The sequence below is a fragment of the Homo sapiens genome, chromosome 3 (assembly GCF_000001405.40).
Source record: "Homo sapiens chromosome 3, GRCh38.p14 Primary Assembly".
In the NCBI taxonomy this organism is placed as follows: domain Eukaryota; kingdom Metazoa; phylum Chordata; class Mammalia; order Primates; family Hominidae; genus Homo; species Homo sapiens.
Genome location: NC_000003.12, coordinates 37096666 through 37118771, shown reverse-complemented (window position 1 = coordinate 37118771; position 22106 = coordinate 37096666). Strand labels below are relative to the sequence as shown.

Sequence of the window (22106 nt, the reverse complement as noted above, 5' to 3'; positions counted from 1 at the left end):
AACATTAGCAGTACCTGAATGTGAGGTGGATATATTTATGGTCTTATGCTGCATTCTTAGGACTTTAGGTTTCTCCTTTTGTCCAATTAACTTTCATATACTATCTTTTTGAAAGGTGGCTTACCAGAAGCTATATGGGCTGGAAATGTTGGTGTCAGTGCTATAGACATTATGTATAAAAATAAAAACAGCAAAGGTAGTTCAAGACTGTGAATGGTAGGATTGGGGGAGGGAAGATTAAATCAAAGTTAGGAATTTAGAATTGAAACAATCTGTGTCTATTAGTTTTGTATAATGATTGGATTATTAATAGTGCAGAACATTAGTAGCTGCTTGGTCATTGCTTTATACATTGAAATACAAGAAGACAGTAAGGTAAAGATCCAAAATTAGAAAATGAAGTGATCTTGGCCAGGCACGGTGGCTCACGCCTTTCATCCCAGCACTTTGGGAGGCTGATGCAGCAGAATCACCCAGGAGTTTGAGATCAGCCTGGGCAAAGTAGTGAGACCTTGTATCTACTAAAAATAAATAAATACAAATAAAATAAATTAGCTGGGTGTGGTGCTGCATGCCTGTGGTCTCAGCCAGTTGGGAGGCTGAGGTGGGAGCTGTCCGGGAAGTCGAGGCTGCAGTGAGCGTTGATTGTGCCACAGCATAAAAACGAAGAAAAAGTGATCTTGATTGAATCAGAGCAGTAGGGATACATTGCCTTTTCTCATTGGTGGAGATTTTTACTGTTGCATGTATTTAGTTACTATTTATATACCAGTAGCCTTGGTATAATTTTAATGAATTTAATTTTTAAAATATACTTACAATTTTGTGTTTTATTATTTACTATTACACTGTTTAATTCTATTGAAGAACCCATCAAAGGATATAACTGGGACACTTTGGAGTAGAGCCAGTACACCCAAAAGGAAAGACACTATGGTGTGTAGCCCAGGAAAATGTGTGGTATTAGTGTTATGCATTCACTTTTGACTTTCAGTGTCCTTGATATTTGAGTAATAGGTACATTCTAATAGAGATTGACACTTGCTGAACTTTGTTCACTGTATGTACTTTCTTTCTAGTTTGTTTCCTAATGAAAACTTTCAGGCAAGTTTGACAGTTAAAATTTCTTTAAAAGATTACAATAGCAAATTTTGGATTTTTTTTTAACTTTTAAAGTTAAAAAAAATTTTCTTTTTTCTCTATGGTTATAGCATCAAAAATTTGGAAATGAGCCCTTACTATTTTCACTTTTACCTCCTTTGATGAATCTTTCTTTTCTTTACAACAATATAAAGGCCAACTTTTACTTATTGGGGTGACTTTTTTTGTTTGCCCATTGTTCTAGTAGAAATTGGTATGCCCAAATTATGGATTTTCCTACCAGATAGATTCAACATTTTTTTTTAAACCAGCTGAATTCTACATTATATTTTGGAAAAGGAAAATTGAAACAGGTTATTTCCAGTTTGGCTTGTTAAATCCTATGCCTGTGTAAAATGCCACTGGTGCTATAGAGAGGATGATAAGAGGAAAGACAGCTACTCTTTTCCATGAACTTACCTTATTTGGAGGATGGAATAGCTTATCTGCTAGAATGTGTGACTTGAGTAATATGTTTTGGTCATGGAGGTTTTTTTTTTTTTTTTAAACAAAAGGGTTAGATTTTTTTTAATTTAGAAATTTCTATAGAGAAGCAACTTTATTTTTGGGGAAGTGTCTCTCCATGGTAAGTGACATTTTACTACTACACAGTTTAAATGCATACTATTACGCATTTTAGAAAATTTTGTAACAAGATTTTGTTACACATGCAATAATAATATTTTTTATTGTGTTTTCTGTTAGTTTCAGGATAATATAAGAAAAGCATGCGGTACAGATATTTTGCTCCAATAAAATTGGTATTTATTACAATAACATTTTCAATGAATTTATACCAGTGGTAAAATGGTACCACTTAGTCTGATACTTATGGAATTTATTTTTTGAGGTTTCTGCAATGTTTTTTGTAAATGACCATTTCATTAGGCATGAATGGAAGGGCTTTATTCTGACTGAACTATTATTTTAATGTCTTATTAGAACTAGATTATATACTTTGATTTTCTAATATATTTTAAGCTTTTTAAAAATTGTGATCTCTACAACAAGAAATACATTTTACACCATAAGTCAGTATACACATGAAGATTCATGCATGTGGATTTGTATATATGTAAAAGTATAGAAAATACATTATTGAAACAAAAGTTTCACAAAATAATATTTGCACTTACTTTGCACAACACCCTCTAATATTTTCTCTTCTAGTTTAGTTTTTAAAATGCTGGTTGAGGGCAGGGTACGGTGGCCTCTGCCTGTAATCCCAGCCCTTTGGAAGGCTGAGGTAGGAGAATTGCTTGAGCCCAGGAGTTCAAGACCAACCTGGGCAACATAGCAAGACCCCATCTCCTAAAATTAAAAAAAAAAAAATTAGGTAAGTATGGTGGCATGTTCCTGTAGTTCTGTAGTTCCAGGTACTTGGGAGCCTGAAGTGGGAGGATCACTTGAACCCAGGAGTTCGATGTTGCGGTGAACTATGATCAAGCTATTGTACTCCAACCTGGGCAAAAGAGTGAAACCCTGTCTCAAAAAAAGCTGGTTGACCCTACTAAGTTGATTTTATGAACTACTGATGAATTGCAACCTATCCTTATGAAAACGTTACTTTAGATTGGGTTTTTGAATAGTATTGCTTAAAATTTTAAATGAATATAAGAGTTGGAAAAGAAAGATATTTTTATCAAACAATTAGTATTTAAACTACCTGAGGAACTTGTTCATTGCTTTTATTTGTTTTGTATATGACTTTCTGGGTAGACAGCTTAAAAATATAAACTAGAATGCTTAAGAAACGATGTGTGAAAACCATAAATCTATGTAGTTACTATTTAGTTTTTCTTCCCTGGATTTGAAATGTGGTATTACATATCTTACTTTTAAAAAGGATCCTACATGAAATGTGGGTGTTCTGGTCTTACGAGTTTTGTATATTTTTCTTTGATTTATATTCAGTGTCACACCTGTATGTATACTGTGCAGTTCACACATTGACCAGATTTCTCAAAATGAGAAATCGGCATTTTCTTGAGGAAGGACATTCTTAGGTGTTTGTTCACAAGCAGATCCAAGGGAATGTTCCCCATCTTGGTGCTGCAATTGTTCTTTTGTAAGCTTGACCATGCTTGTTATGTCAGCTTGCCTCATTGCCTGTTCATCCTTTGCTTTTGCCATTTTTCAAACAATAGGAAATGATGTTAAAAGTGATAATAATTTTCTTAAAAAGCATTTTTGACTTTAGAATGCTTAATTCTTGTATTTAAAGGCTCCCTTAGGATGTTTTGTGCTATAGTGTACTGAGATTGAATCATATCACTATTACTGATTATGAATTTTGTTGTTTAAAAGAAAAATAAACATACAGTTTTGAATATACATACAGTTTAGCAATACTTTATACTAGGAAAAAGTAGGAGGAAGAATATTTTTTAATTCAACTGGATTAGCTTTCATGTTTAATAATTTTTTATTTTAAAATAGTGCTGGATTTTTAAAATAACCTCAAATATTACTTCTTCTCTTCTTTATATTTCTGAATTTGGAAACAAACCAACTTTCATGTTTTGCTGAAACCCAGTATGATATGTTCAAGGATAGATCATCAAGACTTTCATCATTAGTATGTAGCACATGACTTTGTGTTATATGTGGAATTTTACTTTATAAACATCTGTTGATGCTAATTATAGAATATGACTAACTTTCATGGCTTTGTTATGAACTTTTGGGGAAAATGTGTGACTAACAAAGCAAAAAGCTAATGTTTTGTGGTTGTGGCATGAATAGTAATTTTTTTCTTTAGGATTTCAGAATTAGACACAAGTTATTCTTATCTATTGAGGACTAGGATTGGTAGTAATATCTTTTTTTTTTTTTTAATTTTAAAGATGGGGTCCCTCTCTGTCAACCAGGCTGGAGTGCAGTGGTGCAATCATAGCTTACTGACTGCAACCTTGAACTCCTGGATTCAAGGGATCCTCCCACCTCAGCCTTCTGAGTAGCGAGTACTATAAACATGTGCCACCATGCCCAGCTAATTGTTTTATTTTTTTTGTAGAGATGGGGTTTTGCTATGCTGTCCAGGCTGGTCTCGAACTTTTGGTCTCAAGTGATCCTCCCACCTTGGCCTCCCAAAGTGATGGGATTACATATGTGAGCCATCATGCCCAGCTGGTAGTAATATATCTTTTCTTAAAATGATGAGCCACCCACCTAACATATACTCATTGTCATTCTAACACTGTTAGAAACTTGTCTTCATGTTGAGCACAAGCCCAAATTGTGTTTTATGTCATATGTCACAAAGCTGGCAGGTGTGAAGTTGCTAGATAGAAAACATCCAGTAGTGTTAGAGGACACCTAAGACATCAGTTATGTCCAAACATTTTGGTTTGATTTGGTTAGTTTTTTATGGTATGTCATTAACCAAGGAATTTAAGTTATAGCTTGTTTTTCTTGGGTTAATATTTTGTCAATAGGTTGCCTGAGTTTCTAAATTACATAGACATCTCTTAAAATATTCAGAGTAATGTATAAAAAGATGCATATTCAAAAAAAAAAAAGTAAAATGAGTTTTTAATCATTGATTGGGAATACAGCTATATATATGTGAGATGGTTTACCTAGAGCAGTCTGTTGCCTTTGGCTCTTGATAGGTAGGGCACTTCTAGCCACACTCTCTTATTTCAGGCAAGTAGTACGTACCTAGATTAGATTTCTTATCTACCAATTTACCTATTTAGTAGTATTGCTAGCCTTAATTTCCCCATATGTACTTGGCTGTGTACTCCTAGGAAAAGTTAGGTATTGAGACAATCCTGTCTTCAAGGGACCCTTTTATAAGGTGACCATTTATGGTATGCTGGGCAATCCATACCATGTTGGTTGTTTTCCTCCTGAGCATTACATACTGTGGATTCACTAATTTGGGTTAAGAGTACTGTCTGGGACAGTTTAATGTCATGTTCTTTGTTCTCTCAGTCCTGTTTTAATTGTTCCAAAAGATTGCTTTTTGACCTTTAGGTAAGGAAGACTATAGAAGGAAATGAATTATCTTGTTACCTATACCCTTAGCCAGGAGTGGTGTCTCATGCCTGTAATCCCAGCATTTCAGGAGGTTGAGGCAGGAGGATCACTTGAGGCCAAGAGTTCAAGACCATCCTGGACAACATAGCAAGACATTGTCTCTACCTGTTCCCCCAACCCCAAATTAGCTGGGTGTAGTGGTACATGCCTGTGGTCCTACCTACTCAGGAGACTGTGGCAGGAGTCCAGGAGTTCTAGGCTGCAGTGAGCCATGATTGTACCACTATACCCCTGTCTGGGTGACAGAGTGAGACCCTGTTTCTATTGAAAAAGAAAAAAAAGAAGTCAGAGGGACTCAAGTGTGGTGTGAAGGTCTCCACAAATATTCTGCCTGGTTCTTAGTTCTAATCAAGTTTTCTTTAGCTGGCCAGACACACAGATGCTTGGCACAGAGGGAGGTGAGGGAGGAATGCAGATGTGTAGAGAGGCCAGGTAGACTAGCTAGTAAAGTGCAGTGAATTGTTTACTAACCTTTGGGAAATAAATTGCATGTAAACTATTGTGTATCTCATATAGACCTTTGTGTATATAATTTGAAGATGAATTTTATTATTTTCATAACTTCGCTATGCAATCATTGAAGTTAACTTGGAATATTTACTTCCAGAATCATTCTTACAGTCACTCTCATGGAATGAAGAAGAGGTCTTCTGATTCTCATAAAGACCTACTGGTTAGTTCTGTTGTCTCTCATATCACAATTCACGAAGTACTGTTAGGAACTTAAGGATTATGATTGCTTTGGTGTGCTACTAGGACATTATTGAAACTTGATAATCTGCTGAAACATGATTTATCAGAAATTTAAAAATAATTTTGTTTTCATTTGCAAGTTTTAGTATTAACATATGCAAACCCTAGCAGCCAGAGTTAGTACTATATCACAAGAAGCTCATTAACAAGTATTTTCATTTATTAATTGTCCTTTGGAATATACCTCAAGAATAGGTTTAGTAAGATTCTCATCCTTATTTTAGGAATTTGAATTGATTTAGTTGTGGTATTATGGGCCGTAACTAAACTCACAAATAGGTTTCATTCTAAAAGTTTGTGTTTTGGGAACTTGGAATGCATTTTCTAGTTTCTTCAATAAATATGTAATGGCAAAGTTTCCATACTAGCTTGCTGAAAACTCTTTAACCTATAATGTAATTAAACTGCAGAATTAATATACTCTTTATTCTAGTCACTTTGTGAAACAACACTTCTTTTTTCTTTTTCTTTTTTTCTTTTCTTTTTTTTTTTCTTTTTTTGAGATGGAGTCTCGCTCTGTCTCCCAGGCTGGAGTGCATGGCGCGATCTCGGCTCACTGCAACCTCCACCTCCCAGGTTCAAGCGATTCTCCTGCCTCAGCCTCCCAAGTAGCTGGGATTACAGGCATGTGCCACTCTTCCTGGCTAATTTTTGTATTTTTGTAGAGATGGGGTTTTGCCAGGTGATCTGCCCGCCTCTGCCTCCCGAAGTTCTGGGATTACAGGCATGAGCCACAGTGCCCGGCTGCTAAACAAATTTCTGTGAGGAAAATAATGTCTCCAGAATGCCCACTTGGTACATTGGAAACACCCATTTCCTGTTAGGCTGCAACAGTACTGGCAAAGGAAGTGCAGTCCCAACTCCTTGCTAATTCAGGGTTCCCATGGGTTGAACGGGGAGAGGGTTGGAAGGCTTTGGTTGGTACAAGGGAGGAGAGAAGGGAGAATGTAATGGGGAGGAAATTAACGAGAGGCCCTGGAAGGTAGGGTCTTGGGATCTCTGGGGAGAGGTGAGCCTTAGGTGCCTAGTTGAGGGTGTGAGTGGGGAGTGAGGAGCGGTGTGGGAAGGCAGGGCTAGGGGTGGTAGGGATGGGGTGGGAGTAGGGATGTCCTCAACTCCACTGTCAACACTGATGGAGTCTTTAAGTCAGAGATTGCCTAAATTTGCTTAACCTTGAGTAAAAAAGTTGGCTAGAGAAGTTGGGAAGGGAATTTTATAGATGGTTTTCTCTCCCTCAATTAGCTATAATGTGTACTATTGTTTATTTTGTACATTGTATAAATGAACCTGCCGTAAGTGTTTTAGATCAAACCATATTTATCGTACTCTCTCTTTCATTTTGGTAACTTAATTTGTCAGTTTATTTTGACAAGTAATGGGACTAGGAAATGTTTGGAACCAAATACATAGCTCTTTAATAACTTCTGTGGCTTTGCCAGATGGATTGTAAAACTGGTAATTATTCAGTTGTCCAGGAGTGTTCAAGGACTTTCTTAAGTATGGCATGAGAATAAATTGTTTTCATTCCATTTTCTCTGAGGGTTTATTGTCTTGTTTTTAAATTTAAAAATTTAGTAATGTCTTTGTTTTAGGGGCTTGAAATAATTGTCACTTTGACTTAATGTGATATGATGATTTAAAAACATTTTGGAGAAGAAGGGATTTGGCAATATCATATTTTGCCTTTTTGTGTTCAGTTTTGCCTTTGTGTGTTGTTAGGTTATTAACATTTAGCCTAAGAAAAATGTGTTTAATTTTGCTTTTTGCAGAGTGGCCTCTACTTTGACCAGAGAAACTATAGCAGTCTTAGACATAGCAAACCCACCTCTGCCTACTACACTCGGGTTTGTCTAAACTTTTTTGGCTTTATGTGTTTGATTCACTTTTAACATATTTCTAATCTCCCCATTTTGCATTTTGACTAGCTGTAACTAATCTGTAAATGGCTACGTATATACTAGTTTTTGGTAACTGAATTTATATAGTCTGTGGGAGTCTCTTTAAACAACGGGAACTATTCAGTCATCATGTTTATAAATCAGTACCATTAAAGACATTTTTAAATAAAGATGTTTAAATGTACAAAAAAAGTTCAAGGAATAATACAGTGAACATCACATACCTATCATTTAGATTATATAATTCATTATATTTCCTTTATCACATAATTATCTATTTGACCCTCTAACCATCAATTCATCTTAGTTTTTGATACATTTCAAAATAAGTTGTAAGCATCCATATACTTCAGAGTGGGTACCCTTTTAAAAAAGCTTACATATAAAAATGTAAACACGTGGCATGAGAAGAATGTAATTATTTAATGTTAGAATCTCTTGTTTTTTTAAAGGCATTTGACACATCATACATTTAAGACACATTAAGTGTATGGCACACAGTACATTTAAAATAATTTTGTTTAAAAAACCTGCACACGCAACTTAAGTACTCTTATTTTTCATCTCTGATTGGGTTTGGTGAAAACTTGAAAAGTATGTCCTCAGATGACATCAGGAAAAGCAAGATTTAATTCCTTTAAAAACATGCTGTGTTCTTTTAGTGCATGGATTCATTGACTAGTACAATTTATCTAATTCAACTAAGGCACTTTGTCCATGGCTTGTTTTGAAGAACAGGTTTTCTAATCTATTTGGAAAAGAGTGTTTGTAGAGATAACTTGGAGCTTATTTATCTGGTTCTCCAAAAATCAGTCTAAGCCAATTAGGAGTTGGTCATAAAATCACTGAAAATATCATAAGAACTGGGTGAGTGGGATGTGGCCACTGTTTTCCACACTCCCGGTACCATGACCCTCTTTCCCTCAGTGTTTTCTTACTTGCCATTCCATATCCTAACAATAATGCTCGAAGACCAATGGGACATAAACATATTTATAATTCATAGAAAACTGTTCCAGCTGTTTCTTATCCCTTACAATTAATATTCAAAACAATTTCTAATTACTTAAGTTTTTCTTATTTCTTGTGTTTCTTAACTACCTTAAGCACTCAGGAATTGCTAATGAATTATGGAGTATAAAATCATAAACTTAAGTCCTCTGCATTCATGATGGTGAGACCAATTCATCTTTGTTTTTGTTTTTGCTTATTTATTTTGTTTTTGTCTCTTAGCAGTCTTCTTCCCTGTACAGTGACCCTCTGGCAACATATAAGAGTGACAGGGTTAGTACTTTCTGAGGAATGTTCTGCCTTTAGAGCTACCAGTTGCTTTTTTTGGGGTTTAATAATACACTTTTTTCTTAGGCCTCTCCTACTGCAAATTCTGGTCTGCTGAGAAGTGCCAGTCTGGTTTGTATTTTCCTCTTCCAGTGTGTGCAGTGCTGGTGGGGTCAATGTCATGGTGCTAACTCTATGGCTTGACAGCTTTTCTCCAAAATAGTTAAGGACACATGATTTTAGTGTCATGTATACTGCAGAATGTGCTGCCTGTGCTTAAAATATACAACTTTAGGGTATTAAAAATGAACATATTCCTTTCACAGAGGGCTGTTGGTAGCCCTTGCTTAGAATCAGTTTTTTTTTATCTAGAGAAGATAGATTTGCTTGAGTCCTACCACACTCACATACTTTTGTGAGATGGCTGCTTATGGAAAGGATATTGTTTTTCTTTGGGACAGTTATGATCTTGGCCTCTGATACTAGGATCTAATAAAGCAAGCTGACTAGAAAAGTAAAAGCAGTAGCTCTGTGTAATGTGTGAGCTGTGAATTTGTTGCTTTCAAGCTGTTTGTTGTGTTGTGGCCTGTTCTAGTGGACTGGGATCCTGAGGTTTTATAACTTAATTTTATTGTAGTAGTAGGCAAAATGCTCTTTGTACCTCAGTTTCCTTTCCTGCTCTGTTTCCTCTTTTGAGAAGATAAATGTGTACACGTTAATTCTCCCAGTTTCATAACATGATGGTGAAAGAAAATACTGTAACCAGGGGTGTTTTTTAAAAAATGAAGTGCAAGGTTGATAGCAATTTTTGCATATAAATGAGTATTACCGCCTTCAGGGTTTTCATTCTGGGAGGCTATACACTTATATCATTCTCCAAAACTTTTTTGGTACTGAGTATTGTGAAAACATTAAGTCATTTTCAAAACAACCTTGAAGCTAAATAGCTAAGTGATATTTCCTTTGTTCCTTAGGCATCATTGTACAATGGTGGATTATATAACCCTTATGGTCCTCGAACTGTAAGTCTAAATAGGGGAAGGTGGTGAAGAGGAGGGAAATGTGGGTGGGCACAGTTTACTTTCAAAGAAAAAGTCAAAAATTAATAAAAAAGAAAAATATACAAAGAAAAAGTCATTTAATCTGACCTGGAATTACTCTCTAAGCTGTGATCAAGTCATTGAGCTAGCCAGTTGTGACTCTCACCCAAGCTGTGATAAAATGCCTGCTGGAAATCATGATTTCAAGTATTAGGGAAATGCATAGAAAAACCACTTTTCTTGTTCATTAGTTCCTCCTGAAGAAGTTCTGAGCAGCACTTCTCAGGGCATCCCCTTCCTCTTCGCTCCCTCTAGCCAAGGGCTGGTGGATCTTGAGGGTGGGGATGAGGTAGAGTTCTACACCACTGAATAACAGTTACCTTTATCTTGAGAACCAGGGGCAAGTTAGGTAAATGGTCCCTAATGTATTCTCATTAGAATAATGAGGTGATCATTGTTGTAAAACCTTTCTTCTTGGAAACTTTATAGCCATCTGAATGCAGTTATTATTCATCAAGAATAAGTTCAGCCCGAAGCAGTCCAGGGGTGAGCTGTCTAGTCTCTGCATGCTTTGTAGAAATTTTTGATTGTTGCGTTAATCTGTACTCACTGTTTAGAATATTGAGGATATGGTGTGATTCACTTTGTTGTGCATGGATTAGGTGTTCCCTTAGTACATAAACTCAAGCACTAATTTGTCCTAATAATTGGTGATTTCTCTATAAATGTGACTTAGCATGTAATTTCTTAAATGAGTCTCTAACCAGTGCCATTAGAATTTTTAAAGTTTTTATATTTAATTTTCATTTGTGTAGAACTTCTTGTCTTTCAGTGGTGATAATTCATTGTATAGGTTGACTATCCTGTGTTTCTCCTTTCTATCTTTACATTCTGCACATTGAGCCATTTCACCTGCTTGCCAGCGCTTCTATCAGTGCAGTGAAAGGAGAAGAAATAAAACAAGCTGATTAAAAAAAATTGTTATACGAAAGACAAAACTGGGACAATTATAATTACCTAATCTTTCTAGAGTATTTTTAAAAGTTTATAAAAATAATATTAGTTAAGGAAAATTCAAAGTAAAATTCCCCATTTTCCTTCCCCAAATGTAATCTCTGTTCTTCAATAACCTTTCAGAGATATTTTATGCACGTATGAGTGCTCTTTATTTTGAGTGCAAATGGGTCATATTACATACTGCTCCTCAATATATTTTCTTTATTTAAAGTAGCTTTCTGTATCAGCACCTATAAATTTATTTCATTCTTTCTTTTTTTGATAAAAATTTTAAACAAGTAAGCTGTGTCCCTTAGTTTTTCCACTTCATGTCTCTTAGAGGTAGTTTCATATTAGCACATTCTTTTTAATGGCAATATATTCTGTTAGTGCGTAAGTATACATTTTAAAAGTCATTTCCTGTCCGGGCATGGTGGCTCACGCCTGTAATCCCAGCACTTTGGGAGGCCGAGGGCACATTACCTGAGATCGGGAGTTTGAGACTAGCCTGACCGACATGGTGAAACCCCACCTCTACTAAAAATACACAATTAGCCTGGCGTGGTGGCACATGCCTGTAATCCCAGCTACTCGGGAGGCTGAGGCAGGAGAATTGCTTGAACCCGGGAGGTGGAGGCTGCGGTGAGCCAAGATCACGCCATTGCACTCCAGCCTGGGCAACAAGAGCAAAACTCCATCTCAAAAAAAAAAAAAAATAGTCATTTCCCTGTGATGGACATTAGATTGTCATATTTTTGCTACTATAGACACTTATACAATGACCATTCTTATCCAAGTATATTTTTGTGTACTTACATGGGTAAATCTGCAAGGTAAATTGTGAATCATGAAACTTGTGACCTCAGGTGGTCCACCCACCTCAAACTTGTGACCTCAGGTGGTCCACCCACCTCGGCCTCCCAAAGTGCTGGGATTACAGGCGTGAACCACTGTGCCTGGCCTAATTTTAATTTTTATTTAGAGAGGGTAGCTTTCTATGTGGCCCCTGCTAGATTTGAACTCTTGGGCTCAAGTAATCCTCCTGCCTCAGCCTCCTGAGTAGCTGGGACTGCAGGTGTGTATTACTGTACCCAGCTTATATTTTCAGTCAAATGTAGGATCTTGTCCTTATAGGCTGGCTAGATCGTATTTCATTTGCAGGTTGGGGTTAGAATAACTATTTTAGTGATGCCAGAATGGTTTCTTAGTGATGTTAGAATGGAGATAAACTACACATATCGAAGATGAGTCTTTGGCTGGTAAAGCAAGAAGATGACAGAGCCATGTAGGGTGATGTTAGCAACATCTCCACTAGCTGCATAGGAATGAATAAAGGAAATAAGAACCATCACTTCGTTGTCCTTGTTGTAGGAATTTCTGTCATTGACTTACATTGTTTTGCTTTAAAATATTCTTTTATTTTCTCTCTCAAACAAAAACATTAAGTATATTTGTTGACCCCTGATGGGATCCCAAAGGGCCCAGAGGTTTAAAAAGTATGAAATCCCTAGCTGGTTTTGGTTGGCTTACTTATGCACCTCCCCTTCTTTAATTTTTTGAGGTGGTGTCTTGCTCTGCCACCCAGACTGGAGTGCAATGGCACGATCTTGGCTCACTGCAACCTCCGCCTCCTGGGTTCCAGCAATTCTCCTGCCTCGGCCTCCCGAGTAGCTGGTATTACAGGCACCCGCCACCATACCCGGCTAATTTTTGTATTTTTAGTAGAGACGGGGTTTCACCATGTTGGTCAGGTTCATCTTGAACTCCTGACCTCAAGCAATCCACCCACCTTGGCCTCCCAAAGTGCTGGGATTACAGGCATGAGCCACCGCTCCTGGCTTTCTTTAATGTAACTTAAATAAAATATAAGGTTTTACTTTATTTGTGCTTTTTGGAAATGTCTCCTGATTTTTAATAACAGTTTATTATGCCTTGTACCAGCTTTTTTATTAATATATAAGGTGCCCACTATATTATACCAATTATGCTGCTTATATAGTTATTCATATGCATCTCAAAACCTTCCTTAATGTACTTATAATGAGGTAACACCATAGCAAAATTGCATCTTTTTCATTATCTGCATTTAATATCTATAGTTTACCAACGATGACACTGCAAGCATTGTGTCTTCTGATCGTGCCAGTCGTGGACGAAGGGAGAGTGTGGTGAGCATGATTTGCATGCAAAGAAATAAGATGAGTTTTAAATGACAGCAATGCATGATCACATGAAGTCTGTTGGAAAGTGAAGTTTGCATTTGACAAAAAGAGCATTTTCCTCAAATTTAGTTATATAAATATTTTGCCTTATAAAACATGTTGAGAACACATATTCTCTGTGGGCTGTGCAAGCTTTCATTAATAATTTGCCTTTTTACATCTCTTAGGAGTGAATCATTATTTGAAAAGTTTTTACTTTTTCTTCTTTGTTGCTGTTTTATGCACATACATGTGTGTGCAGTTCACCAAAGACAAATTTCTTCAGCAAAATTAATGTTTCCATATTGTATAAAACTCATAACTATGGATTACAAATCATGTTACCATTAATTGCTTTCTATATTGTTGTATTTAGATTTAACCAGTGTTTATCCACCTGTTAAGACCTGTAATCCAGTCAGGGTGGCTCATGCCTATAATCCCAGCTACTTGGGAGACTGAGGTGGGAGGATTGCTTGAGCCCAGGAGTTTGAGGCTGCAGTGAGCTATGATTGCATCACTGCACTCCAGTGTGGGTAGCAAAGTGAGACTGTGCCTCTCAAAAGAAAAAAAAAAAAAGACTTGTGAACTTAAGAATTGCTAATGACAAAATTTAAAAATTCTAGTCTTAGACATTCAATTGGATAATAATTGTAGAGGCAACAAATAGCTATGTTAGAATACAAATAATATAATTTCAGGTTATTCTTTAATGAAGCTTTAAATTTTACAGAAAACTGATGACATTTTTGTTATATTTAAGAAATTGATTTGGAAAATACATTGTTCCGGATGGTATGTCAGCTTAGAGCTAGAATAAAGAGCATAAGAGGCTGTAATTCCTTTAAGAAAAATAGGCCATTTAACATGAGTTATGTGAAAGATTATAAACCCGAGTTTTCATAGAGAAGGGGAACATTAAATGTTGGAGAGATTTGTTACCATACATTCATTTATTTAATTAAAGCCGTTTTAGTTCCTTAGCAAAGCAACTAATGCTCACGCTCACAACTGAAGGAGAAATAATATGCCACAACACCTAAAAACACCTTGGAACGCAGTGGAGTGGAAAGGGCAGGGACTTTAAATAATGATGCTTGGGCTTGTATCCACTTCTACTACCTGTTAGTGTGTAAATGGCAGTGTCTTTATTTGTACATTGGGGATGTTAATACTATCTTTGTAGGTAGGTTTAATATATGGATTAAATGGAATACTATATAGAAAATGCCTATCAAAATTCTCAAATAGGTGCCAATAAATATTAATATCTATAAATGCAATCATTATTATTATTATTGTGAATAAAAATACCATTGCTTGATTTTATCAGTCCTTAGCAAAACTTCATACTTGTAAGCCTGTTTTATCTCTGTGGATGGGCTTCTGAATTCCCTTCCTTGAGAAGTATTTTAAAGCAAGGCAAACAGTCAGCTGAAGTAAGGAATAGATGATGAATGAGGTTAAAAAAAAATCACTTATTTTAAAATTAAATAAATGTTTGTGGAGTACCTGTTGTATTCAAAGCCCTGTGTTAAGTGCTAGGAATACTATTTTAAGCCAGTCAGACTAGATTTCTGACTTTATGGAATTTATATCCTCGTGAAAGAGATGGAAAATAAGCTAGTAAAGAAACAAAAAGAAAGAAATGTCAGGGACTGTGAAGAGAACAGATAATGTGATAGGGAACCTGGAGGGGTCTATGTGTGTGGGTTACCCTTTGGATGGGGTGATTAGAGATGCTTCTCTGAGAAACTGACCTTTGAGCTGAGACCTGAAATGTGAGGAGCCAGTTGCTTGAAGAGCTGGGAGGGGAGCGTTCTAGGCCAGTGCCAAGGCCTAAGGTGAGGGAGAACTGGTGTGTTTGGGGAACTAAAAAGAGGCCGGTATAGTTTATTTCCTTCATTATTTTGTCTTACATTTCCTGGTCTTTGGGAATATAAAAAAAGGGGAACTGTGTAAACTGAGAAAAGGTGCAGTAAACACCCTGCAAATAATTCTGCATTCAGCATATATATTCTTAACAGAGTTGATAGCTATAATGAATTATAAATTTTGAGAATTATAGTAGAGGTATATACTGACCTAGAAATGCCTCTGTTCAGGGTGATAAATATCTTAAACATGAGAGATTTGCTGGTCCTCAGGAAGTAAATGTTCTCTGTAGCATAGGACTCTAGTTAAGATGAGTAAAAAAGCTGATTGTAGAGCTGTGATTTCATTTAGGAACCCCTTTTCTTTTTTATTTTTTTGAGTAGGTTAATTGCAGCAGTTTCCTCATTTTATTTCTTGGTACTTTATCACCCATCAAAATTTTAAAAAACTTTTCCCTAATTGGCCAATGTTCTTATTTTTTTCTTTCTTTTTTCTTAACCTTGAAAGCATCTTGTTTTTTTTCTGACCGAAAGGTATCTGCCGCTGATTATTTCAGTCGCTCCAATCGTAGGGGAAGTGTTGTCTCTGAGGTGGATGATATCAGTATCCCAGATTTGTCCAGCGTGAGTGTATTGCATGGGGTGGTTGGTTATGTTGTCCCAGGCTTGTGACTAACAGCTAATATGTTAGCTATTTTATAATAAAAGTGGGAACTTGATTTATTGTCTTAAGAAATATTTGTTTGGGCCGGGCATGGTGGCTCACACTTGTAATCCCAGCACTTTGAGAGACCAGAACAGGCAGATCACCTGAGGTCAGGAGTTCGAGACCAGCCTGGCCAACGTGGTGAAACTCTGTCTCTATTAAAAATACAAAAAAAATTAGCTGGGTGTGGGGGCGCACACCTGTAATCCCAGCTACTCTGGAGGCTGAGGCAGGAATATCGCTTGAACCTAGGAGGTGGAGGTTGCAGTGAGCCGAGACCACACCACTGCACTGTATCCTGGGCAACAGAGTGAGACTCCATCTCAAAAAAAAAAAAAAAAAAGAATTGTTTGAACATGTTAAAATCAAACACATTTGCTCTGTTTTGGAATGTATTTATTAATATGTTCTTTTTTAAAAAAAAACTTTTTCCCCCTCTGTGGAAAAATCTCCGCATAGAACCCATCAGCATCTGCAACAATTATCAATATTTTGCCAATTTTGTTTCATTGATTTCTTCCCCCTTCCCTCCTTTTTTTCCCTGAGTTATTCTAAAGCAAATCCCATGTCATGTCATTTCCCAATAAATAGTTCAATATGTATCTGTAACTGAACATTTTTTCAGATCTCTTATATCATTATCATCACTAATGAAATAAGTAATTCCTTAGTATCATCTAATACCTAGCCCTTATTCAGACATTCCTTATTGGTTAAAAAAAGTATTTTCCTTTTTGATTTTAGTGAATCTATAAAGTGATAGGTAGACTTAGAAAGTTGAATAATGAAATATAGCACTTAGTAAAGTGTCACTAATTTGTACTAACCAGGAACAATCTGAATATATTTTAAATATTTGGATTATGGCATTGTTCTGAAGAAGTGTGCCTATCCATTGCTCCCACATTCATCAGGAACTGAATTTAGGAAAGGATTGTCCTTGGGGCATTTGTCTTAATGAATGAACTCCAGCCAACAACTTAGGATCTACCTGCTCATCTCAAAATAACAGCCTGATTATCTCTCTGACGCTTCTCCTCTCTTGCTGGCATTAGTGTTGTTTTGCCCATGGACCAAGGCTATACTGATTGTACTGATTGTCAAGCACTTTGGAGGGGGTGAGAGGTGGCATTTTTCTTTCTTTCTTCTTCTTCTTCTTTTTTTTTTTTTTTTCTTGGTGACAGGGTTGAGACCTATCGTCCAGGTCGGAGTGCAGCAGTGCGATCACAGCTCACTGCAACTTCAACCTCCTGGGCTCAAGTGATCCTCCCACCTCAACCTCCCAAGTAGCTGGGACTACAAGCGTGTGTCATCACGCCCAGCTAATTTTTGTATTTTTTGTAGAGCTAGGGTTTTGCTGTCTTGTCCAGGCTGGTCTCGAATTCCTGACCTCAATCAATCTACCTGCCTCAGCCTCCCAAAGTGTTGGGATTACAGGCATGAGCCATCACTTCTGGCCAACATTTCTTTCTTTTTTTTTTTTTTGAGACGGAGTCTCACTCTGTCACCTAGGCTGGCATGCAGTGGCACGATCTTGGCTTACTGCAACCCCCACCCTCCGAGTTCAAGTGATTCTCCTGCCTCAGCCTCCCGAGTAGCTGGGATTACAGGCGTCTGCCACCACGCCTGGCTAATTTTTTTTATTTTTAGTAGAGACGGGGTTTCACCATCTTGGCCAGGTTGGTCTTGAACTCCTGACCTCATGGTCCACCCACCTCAGCCTCCCAAAGTGCTGAGATTACATACATGAGCCACCGCGCCCAGCCAACATTTCTTAATAGAAACGTTAGACAGTAGTTTTAAATGAAGAAATAATTATTTATAATTAGCATTTCACTGATCGTATTTAAATAACTATTTCTGAACTGTTTTAATTCTAGAAGATAATTTTATGTGTGGTTCTTAAGCATTCCAGATCATTGGTTCTCAAATCTGGCTATGCAACAGTATCATCTTGGTGTGGGTCTAATCAATAACTCTCTCTGCATACAAAGTTAGAAGACTGGTTTCCAAGTCATTCCCCTGAAATATTGCCCTTTATATTAAATTGCCTAGCAATCCCCGTTTTTCCCCCATAAGTATGGACAATTAAACTTACTGTTTACATCTGTTCTCTTAAAAACTGAATTCTGTCAGCCTCTTAATTTATAATATCTGAATTAATAGTTATGTCTTCCTTATATTTATTTTGTGATGATTTACTTTAGTACTTACATATAAGTGAAAGTGCTGACAGTTTAAAAAATCTCCCCCTGCCCCTACTAGTTAACTGTAACTCTTTAACATAAGGAAAAAGTTCTCTAGAACAGGGATTTACAAATCTGGCTAACCCCTGTTATTTTATAGTCTGCAAGCTACTGGTTTATTTATATGTATTTGTGTATACACACACAGACACACACATGTGTATACATATATGTATGTATATGTATATATACATACACATGTATGTATGTATGTATACATGTATGTATGTATGTGTATATATATACGCATACATACATATATTTTTTTAAAGAGACAGGGTCTCGCTCTGTCTCGCAGGCTGGAGTGCTGTGGAGCCATCATAGCTCACTGCAGCCTCAAACTCTTGGGCTCAACTGATCTTCCTGCCTCAGTCTCTCAAAGCGCTGGGATTACAGGTGATTTGTGTATTTTTAAATGGTTACATATCAGTACCTTATCCTTAATTTTGCCTCCTGGAAAAGCCTACAGTATTTTCTGGGCCTCTCTCTGGAGCAAATAACTTTCTCTAGTAGTATTTCTTTTTAAGGGTATGCTGTAGTCCAACTCATCTTGTAGAGGAATACAAAGGGGACTTGATGTTGATAGACCTCCCTCCCCTCCCACTTTCAAAAAACGGTGACCTGGAAATATTTCAACATGAAATATTATGATTTTTAAATGCTGGCAACGAATTCAGAATTTTAAAAGACATTTTCTGGTTACCTCGTTGTGTACTAAATATGTTTGTAGGCTAATAGTTTATAACTTCTGAGCTAGGAGGTGCTGAGAAAGGGTGCCAGGTCATGTTTCTGCAAGCCTATATAATATTTTTGGGGGTTCTAGCCTCTTATTTTCTTCTACATTGGCTTTATTTCTGTTTTGTAAGTCAGGCTACAATAAAGCAAACAAATGTAAATGTTTTTTAAGCAAAACTGAAATTTTGCTGATTGTTAATAATTAAACCCATTTCTAAATGGAATCCTTAGCCAGTTTTGCTTTAGGAAATTGTTAAAATTGATTGATGTCTTCCCTTCTGTGGTTGTGGAAATCAGATATTTTTTCAAACAATTTTTGAGTAGCATTATCAAGTTAGTATATATATAAATTAGAAATTAACAAAAGATCAAGATCCAATGACTGCATTGAAGAAACTACACTGTAAATACTTTATTAAACTACAGTTTTACAGCTTAATATATTAAATATGATTAAATTTTATTCTGTTTAAAAAGCTTTTTTCTGGATCTGGCAGACTCTGGATCATCATTATGAACATTAGCTTGTTATTGCATTGCAGCCATGTAGAACTCTTGGCTGTTGGATCCTATTGGGCTTTTAGAATACCAAGTTTCAGCTAGGTTTTTGTCTAAATGGAAGATAGCACACAAGATAGTACAAGTCTAAGAAGTGAGAACTTGCCAAGTTAGTGTAGCCAAAATAAGAGAACTATGGCATGGTTGCTTTGGGTAATTTTTGCTGGCTTGACAATCTCCGAGGTTTGGTGCATGATCAGTTTGGGTTGCGACAATTGGGATCTCTCAGAAGATGGTGAAAGCAATAGAGTCAACATTGTGATGGATTAGTTCAGTGATGCAACCTCTGAAATATAAGATTATTCCATGGACAGTCTATTAAAAACTGGATGATTTTGGAGGTCATTTTTGTGAGAAGTGGGTATGAGGAAGGATTTCAAATAAGCTTAGAAGACTTTTAATTTTGAATGCTGTGTGCTTTTCTCTTTAACACATTAGCAGAAAAGAGTTGGAAAATACTCAGGAAGATAAGGCAGTTTATTCAAATATAATATTTCTTTCATCTTGAAGAATAATACATTAAATATTGGGCAATGCAGTATAGATGTGTAAAAGGATTATTCCTTTTTATGGCAATAATTGGCAATATAGTATTTAAAAACAAATTTCAGGCCAGGCATGGTGGCTCATGCCTGTAATCCCAGCACTTTGGGAGGCTGAGGTGGGCGGATCACTTGAGGTCAGGAGTTCGAGACCAGCCTGGCCAACATGTTGAAACCCCATCTCTTCTAAAAATACAAAAAAAAATTAGCCGGGCGTGATGGCGGGTGCCTGTAATCCCAGTTACTTAGGAGGCTGAGGCAAGGAGACTAGCTTGAACCTGGGAGGCAGAGGGTGCAGTGAGCCAAGATCGCACCATTGCACTCCAGCCTGGGTGACAGAGTGAGACCCTGTCTCAAAAAAAAGAAAAAAAAGAAAAAAAATTAAAGTTAAAAAAAGCAGCATGGCACATGTATACATATGTAACAAACCTGCACGTTGTACACATGTACCCTAGAACTTAAAGTATAGTAAAAAAAAAAACATTTCAATCGCTGTCATTACCTGCTTTGAAACATTTATATGTTGTTTTAAAAATTAAAATGAACTAAAATTAGTTTCTTTTTCAGAGTTTTTACAGCAAGAAGTAACAAAGAGTTAAATGTCTAAAAATAGTGTTTATATTACTGATGTAATACTATCATCATAATAAAGAATATTTATAAACATAAGTGTGGGTAATAAAAAGAACACTAAAAACTTTCAGATATGTGGAAGTTAGGGTGAAGTGTTCTGAGTAGAGCCAGAAATGATGTTTCATGTTTTAATAATTAACTGAGAAGGTTTTCAGATCTCTTCTCTAGATTGGGTCTAGAAGGTTTGTGTAGGAGTTGGAGTTATTTTCATTTAGTTACATCCCTATGTGCCTTTTTTCTCCTGGTGATAATTGGAATAACATATATATTCAGGTAAACAATATGAACACTGAATTGAAAATTTACAAAACTAAGGGTTGGATTCAGCTCTGCAACCTTCAGCAAAATCTGTCACCTCTGAATTTCTTTTTCCTTAGCTATAAAACTCAGGGTTTGGACTAGACTTTTAAGGTACCTCCCTTCTTGAAATACTGTCTGAAACAACCTTAAGGCCTATCTACAGAAGATAGGTTAATTTAATTGTGGCAAGTTGAGATAACAGGCTACTATGAAGCTGTTTAAAATAAATGAGGGAAGTCTATTAGTATAGATGGGGTATGATTTATTCATTCATCCAACAAATTTTGAGCCCTTCTCTATGCCAGACACTATTCTTGATACTAGGAGTACAGAAAAGAACATACTGATATAGAGCTTACATTATAGAAAGAGAGCAGACAATAAATAAATGGATAAATACCGTAGTGTCAGGGAGTGATAAATGCTATGAAGAAAGATGAAGTAATTTCTCAAATCTCTGAGACTTGGTAAGGGGAAAAAGAAGATGTAGAACATATATGGGACACTTACTAGAATTTTTTTAAAGACTTTGTGGTTGGTTGCTATTAGAGACTGGTGGTCAGGGTATGGCATGGTAGGGAGAGAGCCCTACTCATACTCTTTTGTGCTGTTTGATTTTTTTTTTTTTTTTGGTCATGTGCATGTATTACTGAGAAAACAAAAAATCCTTGATGTGGGGGAAAATATTTTGGTGACATATTTAACATGCTTTAATCTAATCTGAACTTTTTTGGCTGAGTGTACTAGTCTTTATCTGTGTGTCCTGTGTCCTAATAATGTTTAGAAATAAAAGTTTTTCGCTTTTGGTTTTATCAGACTTTTCTTTTTGATATGTACAAGCTTTTTTTGTATTAACATTTGCAGTGCTAAAACTTTATATGTAGCCTTCTTTAATGTGTTTTAAATACCTTAAACAGAAAATTTACCCAAAAGTTCTAAACTTTTGAGTAAACATAGATTGCTTACTCAGTGTCTCCCTTAGGATAAAAATTAAAGTTGCTGACATTTTATCTTATGTTAAACTGGAATTTTAATTTCATTTTTAATATGTTTATTTTTAGGCTTCAAACATCATTGAACTTGGAAAACTCAAGATCACTTTTTTCCTCCCAAAAAAAGTCAACTTGCTAAGCATCTTTACTGATTTTTATCTTTGTTCTTT

General features: G+C 36.2%; 1 protein-coding gene across 55 annotated transcripts in view; it reads left to right on the top strand.

The window, feature by feature from the left end:
* LRRFIP2 (LRR binding FLII interacting protein 2) overlaps positions 1-22106 on the top strand; it is a 123735-nt gene that overhangs the window by 57589 nt on the left and 44040 nt on the right. For 16 of the 55 annotated variants that reach the window (XM_006713396.2, XM_006713389.2, XM_017007469.2 and 13 more), the window contains 9 exons: positions 3677-3718; positions 5792-5857; positions 7707-7781; positions 9069-9119; positions 9201-9245; positions 10088-10135; positions 10643-10699; positions 13249-13317; positions 15759-15848. The exons of 27 other annotated variants lie outside the window; for them this stretch is intronic. In XM_006713396.2, coding sequence (XP_006713459.1) covers positions 3677-3718; positions 5792-5857; positions 7707-7781; positions 9069-9119; positions 9201-9245; positions 10088-10135; positions 10643-10699; positions 13249-13317; positions 15759-15848 — 543 coding nt within the window. The remainder of the gene's footprint in view (positions 1-3676; positions 3719-5791; positions 5858-7706; positions 7782-9068; positions 9120-9200; positions 9246-10087; positions 10136-10642; positions 10700-13248; positions 13318-15758; positions 15849-22106) is intronic. 12 more of the 55 variants (XM_047449202.1, XM_006713388.2, XM_047449203.1 and 9 more) reach the window with 10 other exon arrangements.